Here is a 20,824-nt window from a genome sequence, read left to right on the forward strand (position 1 = left end):
TCCTGCCATCACCTCCTTTCTCAGGAAGAAAGTCAGGGCAGTGGCCCAATACATCCTTGTGTCCAGAGCTCTCTCCACTTCCACTTTCACTCTAGCCCCTAGGGACTTGTGTCTTCCAGTAGGATTATCAGTAAACATTTTATAGAAAGGTAAGTGACCCTGTAACAGAAACCTCTCTCCTCTGTCTGCAGACAATCTGATCAAAGCCATCTTGTCAGTCACCAAAGAGTACCGCCTGACCCCTGCCTTGGACAGGTGAGCCACACACTGTGCAGCCTCCTACCCACCGCTGCCTGGTGGTGTGCAGAGGTGTTGAGGCCCAGCTGGCCTTCCCTGGACATGGGCAGTTTCTCCAGCACATCCACACATGCACATACAGTACACACACAGGGTGGGTGGAGCAGGTAAGTGGAACCACTCCACCTGACTTGCACCCCCACGGGCTGTCAGCACTTGGCAGGACATCCCAGTCCTCAGATACCAGAGGTTTGAGGGTAAGAACTGAACACACTGGGGCTGGGACTAGCCCAGCAATGGGACTGAGGGCCTGGGTGGCGGGGGCAGGTGAAGGGGGCAAGGCTTAAGTCCAGAAGGCAGTGACAGCTCCCAAACCAACAGACCCTAGAGCAGGAAGCCCCAGGGTCAGGGATGGGAGAAGCAAGATGGGTAAGCTCTCTAGTGGCTGCTGGGAGCCTTGAGTCCTAGAGCCTCCTGTCCCGTTCCCCTTTTCTTGCTTTCCTGGTATAGCCCCAAGCTCGGCCCACTTTTCCCTCTCCCCTGAAGCCTGCCTAAACACCACTACCCCTTGGGGAACCTTTACCCTAGAATGTCATCTTACCAAAGCTCCCTCCTCACCACCCACGCCTGGCACCCAAGCCTTTCCATGGCCCTGTTTTCCTGGGGAAGTGTCAGGGCCTAGATAGAGATGCTGGAGAGTCTCAGGGCCCAGCTACCCATTGTATGGTTCAGGCCTTCTCTCAGAAATGCTGCCAGAAGCCCATTGGTCTTCTTCCTCTATCCCAGCCTGGTCCTGGACAAGGGCGTGGGGTCAAGGGCCAAAGGAGCAGGGAAAGAGACCTGGTGGGCAGCTCTCTGTACAGAGGTCTCCGCCTCTCTCCCCTCAGCCTCCGCTGCCGCCGCTGCATCATCGTGGGCAATGGAGGCGTTCTTGCCAACAAGTCTCTGGGGTCACGAATTGACGACTATGACATTGTGGTGAGGTGAGCTCCCCAAAATGGCACCTCGGGTGAGTGTCGTGGCCCCAACCCTTAGTCCTGAGCCCATTGAGAACTGTCTGTCTGGCTAGTTGGGCTGGAGGTCAACGGAAGCCTCAAGAACTCTGGGTTGGAGGGCTTTGGAACAGACAACTAGCGGGGGCACCTGGGGAGAATAGGTCCAGGTGACCTGGACTCCCTATTCTCCATGCCTGGGATAGTCTGGGGTCATGGTGCCTTCCCAAACACAGGCCCAGGCTCTGAGTGGGCCTGCTCTCTGTAGACTGAATTCAGCACCAGTGAAAGGCTTTGAGAAGGACGTGGGCAGCAAAACGACACTGCGCATCACCTACCCCGAGGGCGCCATGCAGCGGCCTGAGCAGTACGAGCGCGATTCTCTCTTTGTCCTCGCCGGCTTCAAGTGGCAGGACTTTAAGTGGTTGAAATACATCGTCTACAAGGAGAGAGTGGTAAGCTCTCCTGGCACCAGCTTCTTCCCCTCTTGCCCTGGGCTTCCGCAACTCCTAAGCAATCCCGCCCCTTGAATGCAGCAAAGAACGAGTAAGAACCTTCAAAGGAAACATTAATGACCCAAAGCCGAAATCACCCAATGGCAACCAGGGGGCAAAGAGGTCAGGAGATTGCCCGGGTTACTGGCCAAACTCCAGGAGCCAATATGCCTGAAACCTGCTACCTGCTTCCAGGTGCCCAGGTGCAGATCCTTTCTCAGCCTTCTGTAGCCAGACCCCAGCAGCCCCAGGGGCCCTTCCCTGGCCTTAGATCTCCTGGCCAAGGGAAGCTCTGTCTCTCAGGCCAGCCTTCGTATCACTCCCAATCTTTCTACTTTCCTGCCCTGACCTTGTAGCTGCCTCCCTTGCACCCTCTTCTCCTCTGTAAGGTCTCTCTGGCTCTGGTCTTAGGGGTCCCTGCCCTCTTTCTCAGCCTGGGTTCTGCAGGGACAGCAGACCCCTCAACTTGAGAGTGCCAGCTCCCAAACTTAGAAGTCCTGGCCTGTTTCCACTTTGTACTTTTACCACTGACTTATAGTTGAATTCCCAACCTGCCACTGAGTCTGATCATTGGGAATGATCAGGTTCTACTGACTGTTCTAAGCAGGTAAGGGTCTGGGCCCATTTCTTTAGGGAGCTTATGTGGCAGAGTAAGGTCAACTGCTCTTTAGGAGACCACCACTGAGTTCCCTCCCGAGACCTCTACTTCCCAGCTCTGGGCCTACAGGGACATCCGTGAACTTGTCCAGGCCCACTCCCCCACAACCAGCTGTCACCAGCAGCCCCAGGGGTGGGGTACTGCAGAGCTCAGGCCATTCATCTTCTAATACCCAAGCCTCTTGCTAGAGGAGGATGGTGACAGACGGCCCTCTGCCTACAGTGAGAAGCTGATTGTTCTTTCCAGAGGTTTAGAGAAGAGTTGGGAGTGGGAACAGCTTCCTTTGCCTTTAGGGTCTCAGTGCAATTTGGTTTAACTCCACAGCTCTTTCCCAAGCAAGGCCAAGTACAGGCAGTGTCAAGTAGGTAGCAAGCAAGAGAGAAGACAGAAGTCAGGTCCAGAAATTCAGGTAGGTGGGACAGTGGGGAAGGGGAATCCATTTCAGAACCAGACTGGATGAGACACCTGGGCTCCACAGTGTCCAGTCCACCTCCCCAAAGGGGAGGAAAGGGCCAGGCAGCAGAGTGATGATTTGGCCTTAGCCAGGCCCAACTTCAAGCAGGCCCACTGCCCACACAGACCAGGTAAATAACAGCGGTTCCAGGAGTACCCTACTGTTTTCAGAACCCTGGGGACTGAGACACTAGTGTTTTCAGAGTCCCTCTCTTTGCCTTGAGGGCAGTAGAATTAGGGTCACAGATAGACACTTTTAAGGGAGAATGGTAGGAAATAGAGTCTGTCCTGGTGAACCCCAGTGAGCCTAAGGGCTGCTGTCTCACTCTGGCCTTCTGCCATCCTCCTTTCACATCGTTTCCTCTGCCCATGGGCACCTGTCACAGCCTCCCTCAGGGCAAGAGCTCCTAAGGGGCAGAGCTTGATCCCATTGGTTTTTACCCTTCAGTGCTCAGTCACCATAAATGATCTGGAATTGGCTCAAACACCAGTTCCTACTTCCCACTGGACAGACTGGGAAAAGCCAGGCAGTTCAAATAAGGCCAGGCCAAAGGGGTGGGTCAGAGCCTGTCATGGGTGTTATCACATGTTCCTTCCAAGAACACCAATGTCAGTTAATTCAAGGTTCTTAAAATTCATCCAAGGGAGTAAGGAAAGAAAGAAGAAAAGGAAGGAAGCCAGCTAGAGTCGGAGAACTCACTATACTCAGGCTACTCAGGAAGCAGACAGCAGGGCCTTGCTTTTCCCAGGAAGCTGAGGAGCTCTCCGCCTGGCCTGGCCTTGGCAGCAGGCAGATTCAAGGTACCAGCATTGCAGGACGAGGCACAGGCACAGGCTCACTCTTGATGACATCTGTGTCCGTCCTGGCCACACCCAGGGCTCTAGGACTAGCCTTGTATTGGTGAGAACTCCTACCCAGGGTGGGTGGGGGTGAGTGGGAAGGGAAGACAGGAGACAGGGAGGAGTCCTCTGAATTACTGTGGGCCTTCCTTGGCTCCAAAGTGAAAGATAATTTGGACCTTTAGAGTGAGCTGCCAGAGGAATGCCGGGGTTGCCCGTGGCCTCACCTCTCCCATCTCTCAGAGTGGACCTGCCCAGGCCCTTTGGCTGCCCAAGGGACCTCTTCTTTAGTGTCCTTCTCCACCCCAAGCCCAAGGCTAATGCCTTCCCAGGACCTCACCCATGCTCTGCCTCACTTCCCTGGCATCTGAGACCCAGGAAAATGTGAGAGGCTGCTTCTCCAGGTCCCCTCCTGTCTGGTGCCCTAGTCACCAGCTTGTCCTGCTCCTGTAGGGATGTTTCCAGTCATACAGCCTCTGGGCTTCTGGAGAGCTCTCTGCACCTGTCTGGAGCCTCACCTGCAGAATTCTGGCAGGAGGCAGCTCTGTGTTCTGGAGCCAAGGCCTGGCAGGGCAGGGCTGGAACAGGAATTAGGCCTCAGTCACAGCTGCTTCCTGCCACTTACTACATGAGGAGTCTTTTAAAGCCTGTAACTTTCTAGTACCCAGGAGTCCTCATAGGATATGGGAAGGGGCAGGGGGGAAGATGTAGGAAAGGACAGCCAAACAACCCAGAGAACAGCCTGTGCCAGAGCTGGCCTTACCTTCTTCCATCTGAGAACTCTCCTCTTCATCATTTGTGGCCATTTGGGTCCCTGACTCACTGGACAGTGGCACTGATATCTCCAAACAGGTTACAAAAAGGCTTTGTCTCCCAGATCCCAGGAGCCGTGGCCAAGCCAGCAAGCAGGTGTAGGAGTTCCCAGCAGGCTGTGTGCTCAGGGCAGCTCAGAAGAGCACCAGCGGATGGGCAAGCACAGCACGGAAGCTGAGGCTTGGAGGAAGGGTGGAGCCAGGGACATGGGGGTGCAGCCTCCAGCTCCGGTGCAGGTCTTCTCAGAGGTGCCTCTGCAGTCTTCCCCAACACACTCACTCACTTATCAGCTGTCCATGAGGTATTCTCTTTGCAGGCTCTACACTGGCCCCTGGGAATACAAAGAGGAATTAAGCACTATTCCCAACCAAAGTAGCTCACAGTCTAGTGGGAGAGAGAGTCCCAGAGCTAGAGTTACAGTACAGTGTGGAGGCTGCTATGATGAGGAAGGCCTAATGCAGCTCTGGGGCAGGTGGGGGACAAAAGAAGGCCTCTTGGAGGAGTCACTCCTGAGCTGGACCCTGAAGGAAGAGTTAGGAGTGAGTGGGTGAAAGGAATTACAAGCAAAGGGAACAGCATGTGTAGACCCAAGAGACCACGCTCCCTTCAGGAAACTGGAGGTGTGCTGTGTGGATCAAGCATGAGGGTGGTGTGTCAGAGTGTGCTGCCTAATGCCTCCAATGCTGTGGCCTGTGCATCCTCTTCCTGGTATTGGATGAAGGCTGGAGACACCCCATCCACTGTCCAGAGGACGGAGCCCTGGGGTCTGGAGAGGACAGGACATGTGAGAGGCAGAGCCTCCCATCCCCATCCCTCAGGCCCTGCCCTCTTGCCTCTGCCAGCCTCCCCCACTGCGCCTCAGCAGGCCACAGAAGCCCCTGGGAACTGCCTTCCAACCCCGTTTGCTGCCTCCTCTTCCTCCTCCTCCTCCCCACTCCTAAAACCAGAAAGCCAGCCTCGCTGCTGAGCACCTCTGACTGGTCATCAATTCAGTGGGGCCCTGGGGCCTAGGCTGGGTGGGTGTGGGGTGGTCCCAGCCCTGCAGGGGGAAGAGAGAGGACAGGGCTGGGAGTGGGTCCCTGGACAGCCTTGACACAGCACTTACCCTCCAGCTGTACTTCAGTCCCTGGGAGGAGAGGGAGGAGGGCAGGATCTAAGAGGCCAGCCAAGGCCCCACATTCAAGCAAAGGGAGACTGAGTCCCTGATCTTAGAGTGACAACATGGCTTAAGAGGGGAAAATGGCTTAGGCCTTGGAGTTACACAGATTTGGGTTTAAGTTTAGACTCTCACTTATTAGTGGGCTACCTTAGGCACATCACCTAACCTCCTTAGATTTAGTGTCATTGATACAGTGGATGAGTAGTGCTGTGCATCTTTCAGGGTTTTTTTAAAATTAGATAAGATGAAATCTAGAAGCATCTAGCATAGAGAACTTAACTATGTTCTCAGTCTATAGCAAATAGTAATGTTATGTTATTTTATTTTTTTATCACTGGTGGTGATTTTGCTGTTAGAAAAACCCAATTATCCCAGGGAGCAAAGCATTTTTCTGTCAGGCTGTAGGACTTGACCTAGGAGGTGACCCAGAAGCAGGGCTCAGAGGCCAGGCCTAGAGGAGGGAGAGACAAGGAGCCTCCTGGTGAAAGGCAGCAGGGCTGGACCGTAGGGCAGATGGGGCCACCACATCCCCAAATGTAAGGCCTCTTATTGGACCAGGCCCAAATGGGGATTGAATGATGTCCACCTGCACCTTCACCTGTTCCCTGTTCAAGCCTGAGAGGGATGCAGAGCCTTAGCGTGGACTCTGTCCTGGGAGACTCAGTGCAGGCCTCCTGCTCCCGAGCCAGCATTCACCACCCAGCCCAGGCTTCTCACCAAGCCTCTGAGACCAGCTCTTCGAGGATTCTCCACCATTTCCTTTGCGGCCATCACCAGTGGCCGCAGCTCTTTCTCCCATGCCTCTTATCCCTGGGAGGGCCAGGAGATTTCACGTCACTGCCTGTTGCCATATCTTAACCATTGCTCCTCTACCCCCAGATAAAAATGCTCAAGAATGGGGACTCCCTCAGCTCCTCTTCCTCACTGTCTTCTGTAAGCTCTTGGTCACTGCCTCATAATTATTACCATGTCATTCTCCTCCTCCTGCTCCCCTTCCCGTCACTCTTCCTCCCGCTCCCTGTCACTCTTCCTCACCCTCCCCCTCCTGCTCCTCTTCCCACCACTCTCCCCTCCTCCTGCTCCTCTTCCTGCCACTCTTCCTCCCCCTCCTCCTGTTCCTCTTCCTGCCACTCTTTCCCCTCCTCCTGCTCCTATTCCTGCCACTCTTCCTCCTCCTCCTCCTGCTCCTCTTCCCGCCACTCTTCCTCCCCCTCCTCCTGCTCCTCTTCCCGCCACTCTTCCTCCCCTTCCTCCTTTCTGCCACTCTTCCTCCCCTTCCTGCTCCTCTTCCCACCACTCTTCCCCCTCCTCCTGCTCCTCTTCCCACCACTCTTCCTCCTCCTCCCCCTGCTCCTCTTCCCACCACTCTTCCTCCTCCTCCCCCTGCTCCTCTTCCCACCACTCTTCCTACCCTTCATCCTCTTCCTGCCACTCTTCCTCCTCCTCCTCCTGCTCCTCTTCCCACCACTCTTCTCCTCCCCCTCCTCCTGTTTCTCTTCCTGCCACTCTTCCTCCCCCTCCTCCTGTTCCTCTTCCCGCCACTCTTCCTCCCCCTCCTCCTCCTGTTCCTCTTCCTGCCACTCTTCCTCTCCTGCCTCCTTCTGCTCCTCTTCCTGCCACTTTTCCTCCCCCTCCTCCTGTTCCCCTTCCCACCACTCTTCCCCCTCCTCCTTCTGTTCCTCTTCCCACCACTCTTCCTCCCCCTCCCCCTTCTGCTCCTCTTCCTGCCACTTTTCCTCCCCCTCGTCCTGCTCCTCTTCCCACCACTGTTCCTCCCCCTCCTCCTGTTCCCCTTCCCACCACTCTTCCTCTCCGTCCTCCTGTTCCCCTTCCTGTCACTTTTCCTCCCCCTCCTTCTGCTCCTATTCCTGCCACTGTTTCTCCCCCTCCTCCTGCTTCTCTTCCCGCCACTGTTTCTCCCCCTCCTCCTGCTTCTCTTCCCGCCACTGTTTCTCCCCCTCCTCCTGCTTCTCTTCCCGCCACTGTTTCTCCCCCTCCTTCTGCCCCCCTTCCCACCACTCTTCCTCCCCCTCCTCCTGTTCCCCTTCCTGCCACTCTTCCTCCCCCTCCTCCTGCTCCTCTTCCTGCCACTCTTCCCCTGCCACTTTTCCTTCCCCTCTTCCTGTTTCTCTTCCTACCACTCTTCTTTCTCCTCCTCCTGTTCCTCTTCCTCCCCATCCTCCTGTTTCCTTTCCCGCCACTTTTCTTCACCTCCTCCTGTTCCTCTTCCCACCACTCTTCCCCCTCCTCCTCCTGCTCCTCTCCCACCACTCTCCCCTCTCCTCCTCCTGCTCCCCTTCCCGCCACTCTTCCCCCTCCTCCTTCTGTTCCTCTTCCCGCCACTCTTCCTCCCCCTCCCCCTCCTGCTCCTCTTCCTGCCACTTTTCCTCCCCCTCCTCCTGCTCCTCTTCCTGCCACTTTTCCTCCCCCTCTTCCTGCTCCTCTTCCCACCACTGTTCCTCCCCCTCCTCCTGTTCCCCTTCCTGCCACTCTTCCTCCCCCTCCTCCTGTTCCCCTTCCTGCCACTCTTCCTCCCCCTCCTCCTGCTCCTCTTCCTGCCACTCTTCCCCTGACTCCTCCTCCTCCTCTTCCTGCCACTTTTCCTCCCCCTCCTCCTGTTTCTCTTCCTACCACTCTTCTTTCTCCTCCTCCTGTTCCTCTTCCCGCCACTCTTCCTCCCCATCCTCCTGTTTCCTTTCCCGCCACTTTTCTTCCACCTCCTCCTGTTCCTCTTCCCACCACTCTTCCCCCTCCTCCTCCTGCTCCTCTCCCACCACTCTCCCCTCTCCTCCTCCTGCTCCCCTTCCCGCCACTCTTCCCCCTCCTCCTCCTGCTCCTCTTCCTGCCACTCTTCCTCCTGTTCCTCTTCCCGCCACTCTTCCTCCTCCTCCTGTTCCTCTTCCTGCCACTCTTCCTCCTCCTCCTGCTCTTCTTCCTGCCACTCTTCCCCCTCCTCCTCCTGCTCCTCTTCCCGCCACTCTTCCTCCTCCTGTTCCTCTCCTTGCTGCTTTTCCTTCCTTTTGTTCTCCTCTTCCTTCTGTCATCACTATCATTATCATTATAGCTGTCACTTATTAAGCTCTTCAGTTTATCAGCTTTCCTTGAATTCATTCAGTTCTCATAATGACCCTATAGCTAGGTACTGTTATTATCCCCATCCTAGAGATTAAGAAACTAGGGTACAGAGAGGATATGTTACTTGTGTAAGGTCACACAACTAGTTAAGTGGTAGAGCCTAATTAAAACTCAGATCTCACTGCCTCAGGGATCTTCCTAAGAAATAAATCTGACCACCTACCTTCCTGGTTAGAATCCTCCATCAGTCAGCTCCTATCTGCCATGGTCTGTGAGGATGGTAAGAACTACTGTTAACTCTTCTCCATGCCAGGCCCTGGACGATGTGGTTTATATGCATCATCTCAGCCAGCCATCTCCACAACCCTACAAGGCAGATACTATGAGTAGCAGTAAGCAGTAGAGCCGCATTTTGGACCGAAGGTGTTTCACTTTAACCATTGCACTATAACACCTCCCATTTATTCATTGATTCAGCAAATCCAAAGCAATCACCAACATCATGTGCAGTCCCGTTCTTCAAGCACAGTCTCACTCACTCGACAGCTCCCTTTCCCAGTGCTTTCCTTCAGATCCAGCCAGTCCAGTACCAGGGACTGAATGTCACCCATGGGAGAGAAGCTACAGCCAAGGTGGTAACACATGGTGTCACCTTAGTAGCATCTCAGTGCTGCTTCCCATTCCTGTGTCCTGTCCGGGGTCCTTGATCATCTCAGATCTCTACCCTCATCATCTTCAATTCCACTGTACCTCCATCCTATTCCAAAGAAATTGCATGTCCAGCTGCACAGGGAAAATAAAGGTTGTCACCAGCCAAGAACTCTCGGCTTCCTGCTTCCCATCTACAAACTTACCTGCATCCCCATTCATCCCTGCTTCCTCCTCTACCATCCCTCCTGTGCCTCTGCCATTCATGGTCAGTTCTCTCCTGTCCTGGATGCCATCTCCCTTCACCTTCTCAGGACTGTCTTCATTCCTTTGTCTCCTTTCTCACCTCTTTGCCGGGTCCTCCTCTCACATCTATGAATGTATTTGGATCTCTTTCACCTTAAAAATAAAAGCCCTCTCTTTAGCTTATGTTCACCTCTCTTCTTTTCTCTTTCAAGTTTCTGGGAAAAGTCATCGCCTGTCCCAGTGTCTCCCTGTTTGCCGTCTGTTTCTCAGCCTCTCCATCCTGGCTTCCAAAGCCACTCTCACCTGGCAGTGACCTTCTGATTCTAAATCCAGCAGACTCAACCTCTGCCCTCCCTTTAAAGGAGCAGCTTGTCAGCAAGCATCCAGTGAGCATTTACTGTGTAGTGGGCACAGCGCTGGGTTCTAGGGATAGCCCCTGATTCTTAAAACTCATGGCCAAAAACCCGGGAAGCATCCTGATTCCACCATTGCCTTTGCCTTCCATATTCGACTCTTCAGTCTCCAGATCTTTCATTCTCCCTTCTAAATCTGTCTGGCTTGGATTATTTCAGCAGCTTTCTGTCTGTTTCCCTGCCTCCAGTCAGGTCTCTCTCCAATCCCTTCTCTATGTCTGTATTCTAAAGAATCCTCCTAAAGTGACCAGGTGCTTCATTCCCCTGCTTTGGATCCCCATTTCCTAGATGCAGTGGTTCTCAAAGTTCCTTCTCATACCAGCAGCACCAGTATCACCTGGCAACTTATCAGATGTACATTTTTCAGTGGGGGCCTCACCTTAGAGCTTCTGAATGAGAAACTCTGGTTGGGCCCAGCGTTCTCTTTTAATAAGCCCTCTGGATGATTTGCGCAGGCTCAAGCTCAAGAACCAATGGCCTGCAGGATAAAACTTCAATTCCACAGCACAGAACTCCATGATCTGGCCCCTTCCAAGCCTTCCCTTCTCCTTGCCACTCTTTTTTTTTTTTTTTTGAAATGGAGTTTGCTCTGTCACCCAGACAGGAGTGCAGTGGCACAATCTCAGCTCGCTGAAACCTCCGCCACCCCCTCCAGGTTCAAGTGATTCTCCTGCCTCCGCCTCCCAAGTAGCTGAGATTACAGGTGCCTGCCACCACGCCTGGCTAATTTTTATATTTTTAGTAGAGATGGGGTTTCGCCATGTTGGCCAGGCTGCTCTCAAACTCCTGACCTCAGGTGATCTGCCTGCCTCAGCCTCCCAAAGTGCTGGAATTACAGGTGTGAGCCACTGCGCCCGGCCCTTGCCACTCTTTAGCACCCGCCATGTACTCTCCACTCTGGCTATATGGACCTATGGATCCTATTTCACGCCTCTATGTTCTACCTGTTTCCCTACCCATGGATGTATGAGATGCTCCTCTTCTTATAAGCCTCAGGAGGGCAGCAGCTGTCTTGTTGATCTCTGTAAGCCCATCACCTCCAGCAGTGAGGCATAGTTGGTATACATAAGTAAATAAGCAGATGTGGAAACTGAGGCCCAGAGTGCAACAGTACCTTCGAGGAGAGTCAGGATTCTAACTCCAAACTCCTGCCTCTCAGTCAGGCTCTTTCCTCTCAACTAGGCTACCTCCTTTCATTGCCCTGGAAGGTCTTTCTTTTAGGTTCAGACCCTTGCATCCTTTTGCTCTCTTCTTGCCTCTCCAGGGCATCTCTTTCCTCTTAGCCATGTTTGATCTTCTTTATGCAGTTCCAAGATCATTCTCCTTGATAAAGAAATGAGAACTGAACAGTCCCTGGCGCTCTGCCTTTCAGTTGCCTGTTGGCATCACACGGACCGCCCCAAGCCGGCTCTTCTTTTTGTTCATCGCTTTTTTCCAAATATAGCTTTCAAAAAGTTTTCTGACCCTCTCCTCATAGCACACATCAAAATAAATCCCAAACGGACTAAAAAGCGAAATATAAAAATACAACCAAAGGGAATTTTAAAGTAAGGATAGAAATCAAATCCCTGGAGGGAAAGAACTTTCAAGACACAAGTGCTAGAAGAAATCAAATTTGATAACATATTAGAATTTCAAGTTAACACAAAAAGACTGCCGCACAACCTTGAAAAACATATTTAGAACATATGGCAGGCAAAGGGTTATTATGAGAGTTAACAAGAAAGCCATTAGAATCCCAGCAGATAATGGACAGGAAACTGAACAGATCACACAGAAAGAAAGATAACTAGTAAACAACAGAAATAGGTTTAACCTTCCTAGCAGTCAGAGAAATTAATGTGAAGGAAACAGGGTGCCATTTATCACCTACCATGTTTTCAAATAATGTGTTAAATTATCCTACATGATGCTGCCAAGAGTGCAGTGACAGTTGTATCAAAGGCTACTGGTCGGAGTAAACAAATAGGGACCAGTTTTTTGGAAAGGAAATGGAACTTGGTACCGAGAGCCATCACCCAGAGGAAGGAAAAGTCTGTGCACAAAGATTTTTATTGTAGTGTTACTTTATATTTTGTAGTGTTGTTTGTAATAGCCAAACCCAAATATTACCTAAGGGGTTTTTTTATGTGAGTTATGGTCTCACTACATGATGGAGTATAAAGCAGTAGCACAGCAGTCCTGCCGAGGGTGTGGGCACCTGGACCAGCCAGCACAGCTGCTATCCCCAAACCTTCAGTGCAGGCAGGATTGGCAGGTAAAGCACTGGCCTCAGTGTTAGGAACTGAAGACAAATCTCATCTTCTGCCACAATTCACATCTTTGAGTTTCATTTTCCTCATCTATAAAATGGAAATCATGAAAGCTTCCCTGCATAGCTACCTGTTATTCTGCTATAAGAACTAGTAGGACAATGCACAGGACAACAGTGACACACTGTGCTCATCTGCAATGACAGTCACCTTCTGAGAAGTGAGAATGGGCACAAGAAATATTGCCTGCCCACTGGGCAGAAACCCAGACCACAGGATAAGGAGTGAGAGTGTTGGCGAGAGCAACAGGGCCTGGGCCTAAGGGTACAGATGCCACCTGATCAGGAGGGTCCTGCCACCTTGTTTCTTGGCCTTCAGGATACAGATGAACCTGCATGTTTTGGGCATAGAGAACAACATTGGCAAAGAGCATGGTGTATTTAGTGAATTAAAAATAATTCAGTATAACCGGGGTGTGGCATGGGCATGGTACTGCCCTTTGACCTGAGAGAGGCATCTGCCCTGGGCCCCACTGTGGTCCTCCTCTGGCCACAACCTTTGCCGTGGAGTGAAGAGGAATATGCAGAGCCAAGAGGGATGTGCCCACCCCAGGTCCATCTGCCTTGAGAGACCACTATCAGGTAATGGAGACCTCAGAATTTCTTGCCCTAAAAGTGAGAAGTCCAAGTCCACTTCCATCTTCTTGAGGGCAGAATGTAACTCTCTGTGCGTACCCTAAGCCCAAGGAGGGTATTTGCAGAGGCTGTGAGCAGAGCTTGGATGTGTGGAGTGAGGAGGAGTCTACACACATGCACAGACTTCTTTTTTTTTTTTTTGAGACAGGGTCTTACTCCGTTGCCCAGGCTGGAGTGTAGTGGCACGATCTCAGCTCATTGCAGCCTTGACCTCCCTGGGCTCTGGTAATCCTCCCACCTCAGTCTCCCTAGTAACTGGGGCTATAGGTGCACACCCACCACACCTGACTAATATTTCTTTTTCTTTTTTTTTTTTTTTTGTAGAGATGGGGTTTTGCACAAGGCTTCTTATGGTATGGGATGGGACCGGGGTGGGAGGTGGGCCAGACCACCATGGTCCAGCACAACAGATCTCCAGGGTCAGGATTCCAAATTCAAACCTGTCCTTCTAGGACATTTTTCAAGGAAGGATATATATAGATATAGATACATCTATAGATATAGATATCTATAGACATATCTGTAGCTATAGATATCTATAGACATATCTGTAGCTATAGATATCTATAGATATATCTGTAGCTATAGATATCTACAGATATATCTATAGATATCTATATCTATAGATATATCTGTAGCTATAGATATCTATAGATATAGATATAGATATGGATTTTTTTTTTTTTTTAGACAAGGTCTGGCTATGTCACCCAGGCTGGAGTGCAGTGGTGCGATCTTGGCTCACTGCAGCCTCTGCCTTCTGGGGCCCTGCCATCCTCCCACCTCAGGCTCCCAAGTAGCTGGGGGCTACAGGTGCACCCCACCATGACTGGCTAATTTTTGTATTTTTTCGTAGAGACGGGTTTTCACCATATTGCCCAGGCTGGTCTCAAACTCGTCAGTTCAAGTGATCTGCCCACCTCAGCCTCGCACGGTGCTAGAATATATTTAACAGCTTGATAGCTTGCCTCATAACTTTCAGATATTTAGAATTAAATTTTAGACACGTGATATGTGTGTAATACGTCCATTTGTAATTTTGTCCTTGGCCCAACAATGTTAGGGGTTGAACCTACATGGATATGGTGGCAGTGGCTGGAGATGAGGCTAGGTGAGCAGGGGACAGATGGTGAAGGGTCTTAAAAGCCAAAGTCTCATCAAGGAGCCTGGACCTTATCCTGAGGACCAATAATAGCAGAAGCTAACAAGAGCTGACTTTGTGCCAAACATATTATATGCATGACTTCAAACTGTCATAACACAAAAACACTATAAAGGAGAGCTAGTATTACTGCCCTTATTTTATAGGAGAGGATGATGAGACTTAGAAGAGTAAAGAACTTGCTTAGGGGTACAGAGTTAGAGTAGTTGGGGGTGTGAGGGTTCACAATCAGACCTGCACTCTTAATTGTCAACACAAGCTGTTGCAGTGGGCAGTGGAAAGCCACTGAAGATTTTAAGCCTGAGAATGTCGAGATCAGATTTGTGCAGGGATGTGAATAAACTGAAGGGAAAGCAAGAGGGAGTCAGAGAGAGCTGATGGCTGTTAGAGTCACCCCAGGAGAGTTGGTGGTCCGTCCTAAGGCAGTAGCAGCAGGGAGCATAGGCGTGGACACATCTGCCTACTCTTGCTGTGAAAGCCTACCATGGTTAATCTCTATTCCCAGACCTGTGAGCACACCAGGAAACATTCTCTCAGGAGCCTGGTGGGGAAAGTGCTTTCTTCCCAGATGTTTTCCCCATTGCTCCTGGATGTTCTGACAAGAGCAGAACAGGTTGCATCAGCAGGAGTCTGGCAGCTTCACACAGGGGAGCTGGGTCCAGACTTGACTGAGGCAGGGACATTCCTGAAGGAGGAGGGATTTGACAAGGAATGCAGCCCACAGCTGGCCTTGAGGAGAAGCTGGACCATGCCGGGCCAGCAGCACTGGCTGGCTTTGTAGGCCTCTGTTGTGTCCTGTGGATTGGGGAAATGAGATGTGAGAAGCCTTGGGCCAGATGTGGACACTTGCAGGCAGAGGCCTTGTGGAATAGGACTGTGTGCTGGCAGCAGGGCTGGCAGTGTCTCCAGCAGCAGGCAGACCTCCCCACCGGGAGCCAGGGGGAAAGGCTGGCTCTCCCATTCAAATGCATGTACGTGTGCAGGTATGGATATGTGAATGTGTTCCGGCCTCTCCGGTGGCTGATGTTGCTGACCACACCCTCCGCTTCACTCTCCTGGCCTCTGTGACACTCACTATAATCATAATAAGTAAGATTTATTGAGCTTGCTGTATACCAGACCCCGTGCCAGATGCTGTAAAACGCACAGCATCTCTAATCCTTACAGCTATCTGGGAAGTAGGTCTTCTCAGCCCTATTGTATGCACAAGGAACTTGAGGCTTAAAGAGAGGACACAATGTGCCCCTGGTCACAGAGATGTGGAGCTGGGATTAAGCCTCTGTTTTTCACACTCCCAAAGCTGCAGTGGTACACAGATGTTCTGTGTATGTGCCTGTGGACGTTTTTCTGAGAAGAGGAGTTACAGCTTTTTTTTTTAGGAAACAGGCTGAGGTTTTGTTGGTACTTGATATTTTTGTGGCTGGGGAAACACGGAAATGCCCAAACCATATCTTGGTCTTACTGTTTCTCCTTTCCCTGAAATCTCTGAGGAAACTACACCAGGACAGTGGCAGACAAGAAAGAATAAAAGGAGCGCTGGACTGTCGCTGTGTCGGGCTCCCAGTTCTCCAGTGCAGGGCTCCCTGGGATCGTGACCTAAAACAGGGCTCCTTCCCCAGGGTCCCAACATGACTCTCAGCCGCTGCTGGCCGAGTAAGAACCGAGGGCAGTAAGACCTCAGCGCAGTGAGCCACGAAGGGCAGAGGCAGAGGTGGCCTGCTCCAAGGAGGAGGCCCTGCCCAGCTCACCCACCGCCATGCAGAGGCAGCAACTCAGGAAGGGCTGCCTTTGTGGGAGAGAATTTTCACCTCACACCAGTAATCGTGACACACTCAGTATCCTCAAATCTAAGCAGTCCCATCAGGCATTTCTCCTCCCAGGAAAGAGTAAAGATGAGAAGAGACGTGGCAGCTTTCCCCTCCCCATCAGATCGCCAAGGGGGTTGAGTTAATAAGCGAATTTCCTGCCATTTGAGATGGTGATTAAATCCGGGACTTTTAGCATATGGAACAGACCAAGAGGGATTGTTTCAGAGAGGGCATCTCATGTGCAGAAAAACAGGTTGTGAAGTCAAACGCAGCTCAGATTCTCACCAGCTGTGCGTGTACCCTGACGAGTCCCCTCACCATTCTGGGCCTTAGTCCCCTCTGAAAAATGGGACATGGGCACCAGAGAGACTCCTGAGAGCTCCCTTAGTGCTCTTAGAGGAGACAGGGGAGGTCTCCTTTATCTTTGACCCCTAACCCCTCAGACTTCCAGAGGCGGGAACTGCAGCGATGATACAAATGGTGTGGTGGAAAGAATGCCGTTTTGGAGTCAGGACACCTGGGTTTGAATCCACTTGCAGCCACTTGCAGGCTGCTTGACCTTGAACGTATCGTGTCGTATCGTTTCACCTTGGGATCTGTACCTGTGAAGTGGGTGAAAGTTAAAGAGATAATAAAGTAACAGTCGTGAAACCAGCCTGGAGCCTCCTCACACAGGCCCCCAGCTGTGCCCAATCCTGGTTCTCCCTGTTCCTCCCGAGCAGCCCCTGTGCTTTCTCCCTCCTCTTTGGTGTGTGCAGGGCAGGCACAGGCAGGAACCCCAGGTGGGAAGCTGTTGGGGCCTGCTGGGCCTGGAGAAGGGACAGGGGCTGTGCTGTGCTGTGCTTGGCACAGGCTGGCACCTGCTGTTCCTGTCAGTCCACATCTGGCCCACCCAAGAGGGGCTTCCCCTCAGCTATGCCTAAGGTCTTGGCCATTTCTCCACCCGTCCGTTTCCTACTGTCTCCCACCATCCCTCCCTTTACCTCCCTTACGCACACCCCACTTCTGGAGACAGGAGCAGGAAAAACTGGGGTCGGCTTGCTCAGCCTGACTGGGGCTGAAACAGAAGTTTGCCACAAGGTTCCAATGTTTGAACTGACCTTTGGAGGACAGACAGTTTGCCAGAGAAAGAGATGTTGCCACAGAGTTGGGAGCCATGAGGAGGGAGTGGCTGGAACAGAGACAATCCACCAAAGGAGCAGCAGCGGAAGACGCTGAAGAGCTGCTGGTCACTGGGCGCCCTGGGTGGAGGTCAGGTCTCCTTTAGTAACCGTCACTGATGCCTCTTTGCTGTCTGTGCTGTGCCACGCCCTGGGCTACAGAGGTGAATCAGATGTGAGTCCCTGCCCTATGGGGCTAGTGTGCACTCAGCCTGGATTGGCTCATTTAATTCTTACAATAGCTTGTAAGCTAAATACGCGTGATGTCCCTGGTTTATCCATAAGGAAATGGTACATTCCTTGCCCAGGATCTGCACATGGTGAGTGAGCAGATCTGAAGTTAAATCCTAGGACCAAGGATCTGAACTCCATATTTTACCACCTCTTGAAGGTCAGATGTCAGTTCTGCCTTGGGGTGGAGGGGGCGAGGAAAGACATGAAGGAGAGGCAGCTGCTGAGTCTTAGAAAATGGATGGGTCATGTGGATAGAGGTGGGAAGGATGTTAGAGACAAGGAGCAGCATCAGCAAAAGTGTGGGGCATGAATTAGCAAGTGGGGACTTCAGATGGACTGAGACTGAAATGAGAGACAGATGGGTTACTGGCTAAAAGGCTCAGCTCTTCTTTAGGCAGTGGTGATCTGATTTGTACATGGAAAATCATTCTGGCAGAGAGAAAGTGGTTTGAGAGGCTGGGCGCAGTGGCTCACGCCTGTAATCCCAGCACTTTGGGAGGCCGAGGTGGGCGGGTCTTCTGAGGTCAGGAGTTGGAGACCAGCCTGGCCAACATGGTGAAACCCCATCTCTACTAAAAATAAAAAAATTAGCTGGGCATGGTGGCAGGCACCTGTAATCCCAGCTACTCAGGAGGCTGAGGCAGGAGAATTGCTTGAACCCAAGAGATGGAGGTTGCAGTGAGCTGAGATCATGCCACTGGACTCCAGCCTGGAGTGGTTTGGGAGATACAGGCAGCCCATCGTAGGCACTCATTAATGCTCGCTGAATAAGTGAATAGAATTGTACAATTATGTATTGTGTACCATTTATGTTTCAGTTTTATGTTTCAGTTACTCTACTGGGCTTTGGAGTGTTCAGCAGTCAAAAAGACAGACACTGTAAATGGCCAGTCATTAGAATAGTCCAGATGAAAGATGATAAGACCTGCCCTGGAAGTGGTGGCAGTAGGTTTGGGATCAAGGGATGGATCTGTACCGTTCTAAGCAGATAGACTCGAACTTGATGACCAGCAGCACAAGGTAAGATGGACTGGAAAGGTGTAGGAGAATCTCAAGTCAGTTCCCAGGTTGCTGGTTTGGAAGACTGGATGGACAGTAGAGGATAGGGAACAAGGAGAAGGAAGAGGTCTGGGAAAACTAGAAACAATTTAGATATCCAACAACAGTGTTGGTTACATACATTATGGTACATCCATAAGACAAAATTCCTTTTTTTTTGAGACAGGACCTTTCTCTTTCACCCAGACTAGAGTGCAGTGGCTCGATCACGGCTCACTGCAGCCTAGAATTCCTGAACTCGAGTGATTCTTCCACCTCAGCCCCCCGAGTGGCTGGGACCACAGCCTCATGCCCAGCTAATTATTCTATTTCTTGTAAAGACATTGTCTCACTATATTGCCCAGGCTGGTATTGAATTCCTGGGCTCAAGTAATCCTCTCACCTCAGCCTGCCAAAGTGCTAGGATTACAGGCATGAGCCAGCCACCGCACCTGGCCCAAAATTCTTAGAAGATATCATTTTGATAACTGTGACATTCTTTTACATAAATGTATCATTTAATGAAACCTCTGTTGTAAACTTTTGGATTTTTTTCTGTTTTTTCACTTTGTAAGTAATACTGTAATAAAGAGCTTTTTACAAAGGTCTTCATTTTGATTATTTTTAGAAGGAAAATTTTGAGGTCATAAGATATAAACAGCTTTGAGGTCTTTGACACATAGATTGTTTTTTAGAAGGGCTGTGCCAAATTTACTCCTATAGCAGTCCAGGAGAATTTTCCCTCAGCAGACTACCACTAGCACCAAGATATAGATACACAAATATACACATACACAGATTTTAATGGTTAAAAAAATAATAACTTGTTAGTTTAATGTGCATTTCCTTGTCATTAGTGAGTTAAATTTTTCCATGCTTATTAACCTTTTGTTTATGTGCTTTACCCATTTTTATGAGGCCTCACTGATTCTTCATGAGTTTTTAAAATATGCATTTCTTACTATTTGTGACAAAATTTTTACCACTTTTTTGTTTCCCTCTCTATACTATCTTGCATATATAATATATAATATATAATATATATAATATATAATATATATAATATATAATATATATAATATATTATATAATATAATATATATTATATTATATAATATATTATGTATTATATATAATATATTATATTATATAATATATTACGTATTATATATAATATATATATTATATATTATATATTATATTATATATAATATATAATATAATATATAATATAATATATAATATATATTATATATATATATATTTTAAACAGAGTCTCACTCTGTCATTCACGCTGGAGTACAGTGGTGCCATCTCGGCCCACTGCGACCTCTGTCCCCAGGTTCAAGCGATCCTCCCACCTCAGCCTCCCCAAGTAGCTGGGACTACAGGTGTATACCACCACACCTGGCTAATTTTTGTATTTTTTGGTAGAAACGGGGTTTCACCATGTTGGCCAGGCTGGTCTTGAACTCCTGACCTCCAGTGATCTGCCCCTCGGCCTCCCAAAGTGCTGGGATTACAGGTGTGAACCACCACGCCCAGCCTTATTTTGCGTATATTTTTGATGTGCCAAAGCACTTAAAAATGTTTATGAAGTCAAAACGTGTCAGTCAAAACATGTCTTTTTATTTCTTCCATTGCATTAATGTATAGATAATTAAGTGATAAAATAGACATCTAAATTTTTTTCTTTCTCTTTTTTTTTTTTTTTAAGAGAGGGTCTCACTCTGTCACCCAGGCTGGAGTGTGCAGTGGCGTGATGATGACCCACTGTAGCTGCCGCCTCCAGGGCTCCGGCAGTCCTCCCACCTCAGCCTCCGATGGCGTGAGACTACAGGCACACGCCACCATGCTCTGCTCATTTTTGTATTTTCTATAGAGACAGGGTTTCTCCACATTGCCCAAGCTGTTCTTGAACTCCTGGGCTCAAGCAATCCACCTGCCTCAGCCTCCCAAAGGGCTAGGATTACAGGCATGAGCCACCACGCCCAGCCTAGATTTCCCTTTTTTTGTTTTTTAAACATTTACTTATTTTGTATATGGTGTGAGGAGAGAAAGTAAATGGATCTTCTTCCCAAATGGAAAATTTTCCAATCTCATTTGTTCCCATAACCTATACCTGTGTTGAACTGCTTCTAGGTGACCCTGTTTCACTGATCTTGGTTTTGAATCATATATATATATATAATTGTTGTAATAAGTGCAAACCCATAATATACTGTAATACCTAATTTTTAATTTGAGGGTGTTATGTTTACCTGATAAATCTTTTGGATGGGTTTTTAGAATCCATTTGATAAATCTCAAAACATCCTACTGAGATTTTTTTCTTAGAATTATGTTAAACCTGTACATTAATCTGGGAGGAGCTGGCATTGGAGCCTTCCCATCCAGGAATATGATTTTGTCTTTCCTATTTTTTAAGTCATCTCTTTATATCAGTA

The 20,824-nt window shown here is 50.0% G+C and overlaps 1 protein-coding gene across 65 annotated transcripts in view, besides 2 other annotated features; it reads left to right on the plus strand.

Annotated features, from left to right (window-relative positions):
• ST3GAL3 (ST3 beta-galactoside alpha-2,3-sialyltransferase 3) overlaps positions 1 to 20,824 on the plus strand; it is a 223,624-nt gene that overhangs the window by 190,508 nt on the left and 12,292 nt on the right. For 39 of the 65 annotated variants that reach the window (NR_073018.3, NR_073017.3, XM_047428200.1 and 36 more), the window contains 3 exons: positions 192 to 255; positions 1,125 to 1,220; positions 1,498 to 1,684. The exons of 5 other annotated variants lie outside the window; for them this stretch is intronic. Coding sequence is in view for 46 of the 60 variants with exons in the window: in XM_047428200.1 (XP_047284156.1) it covers positions 192 to 255; positions 1,125 to 1,220; positions 1,498 to 1,684 (347 nt within the window). In the remaining 14 variants the exon portion in view is untranslated. Of the gene's footprint in view, positions 1 to 191; positions 256 to 1,124; positions 1,247 to 1,465; positions 1,685 to 2,705; positions 2,791 to 3,478; positions 3,636 to 12,658; positions 18,982 to 20,824 lie in introns of those variants that run through there. 21 more of the 65 variants (NR_146867.2, NR_073016.3, NR_073019.3 and 18 more) reach the window with 11 other exon arrangements.
• Positions 1,640 to 2,498: an enhancer, noted in NCBI's record as "H3K27ac-H3K4me1 hESC enhancer chr1:44365355-44366213 (GRCh37/hg19 assembly coordinates)". NCBI's record gives its function as "activates a minimal SCP1, AML or CMV promoter by ChIP-STARR-seq in primed H9 embryonic stem cells {active_cell/tissue: H9 hESC(primed)}" and the evidence as "EXISTENCE:reporter gene assay evidence [ECO:0000049][PMID:30033119]".
• Positions 15,674 to 16,489: an enhancer, noted in NCBI's record as "H3K27ac-H3K4me1 hESC enhancer chr1:44379389-44380204 (GRCh37/hg19 assembly coordinates)". NCBI's record gives its function as "activates a minimal SCP1, AML or CMV promoter by ChIP-STARR-seq in naive H9 embryonic stem cells {active_cell/tissue: H9 hESC(naive)}" and the evidence as "EXISTENCE:reporter gene assay evidence [ECO:0000049][PMID:30033119]".

Source organism: Homo sapiens, chromosome 1 (genome assembly GCF_000001405.40).
Source record: "Homo sapiens chromosome 1, GRCh38.p14 Primary Assembly".
Classification (NCBI taxonomy): domain Eukaryota; kingdom Metazoa; phylum Chordata; class Mammalia; order Primates; family Hominidae; genus Homo; species Homo sapiens.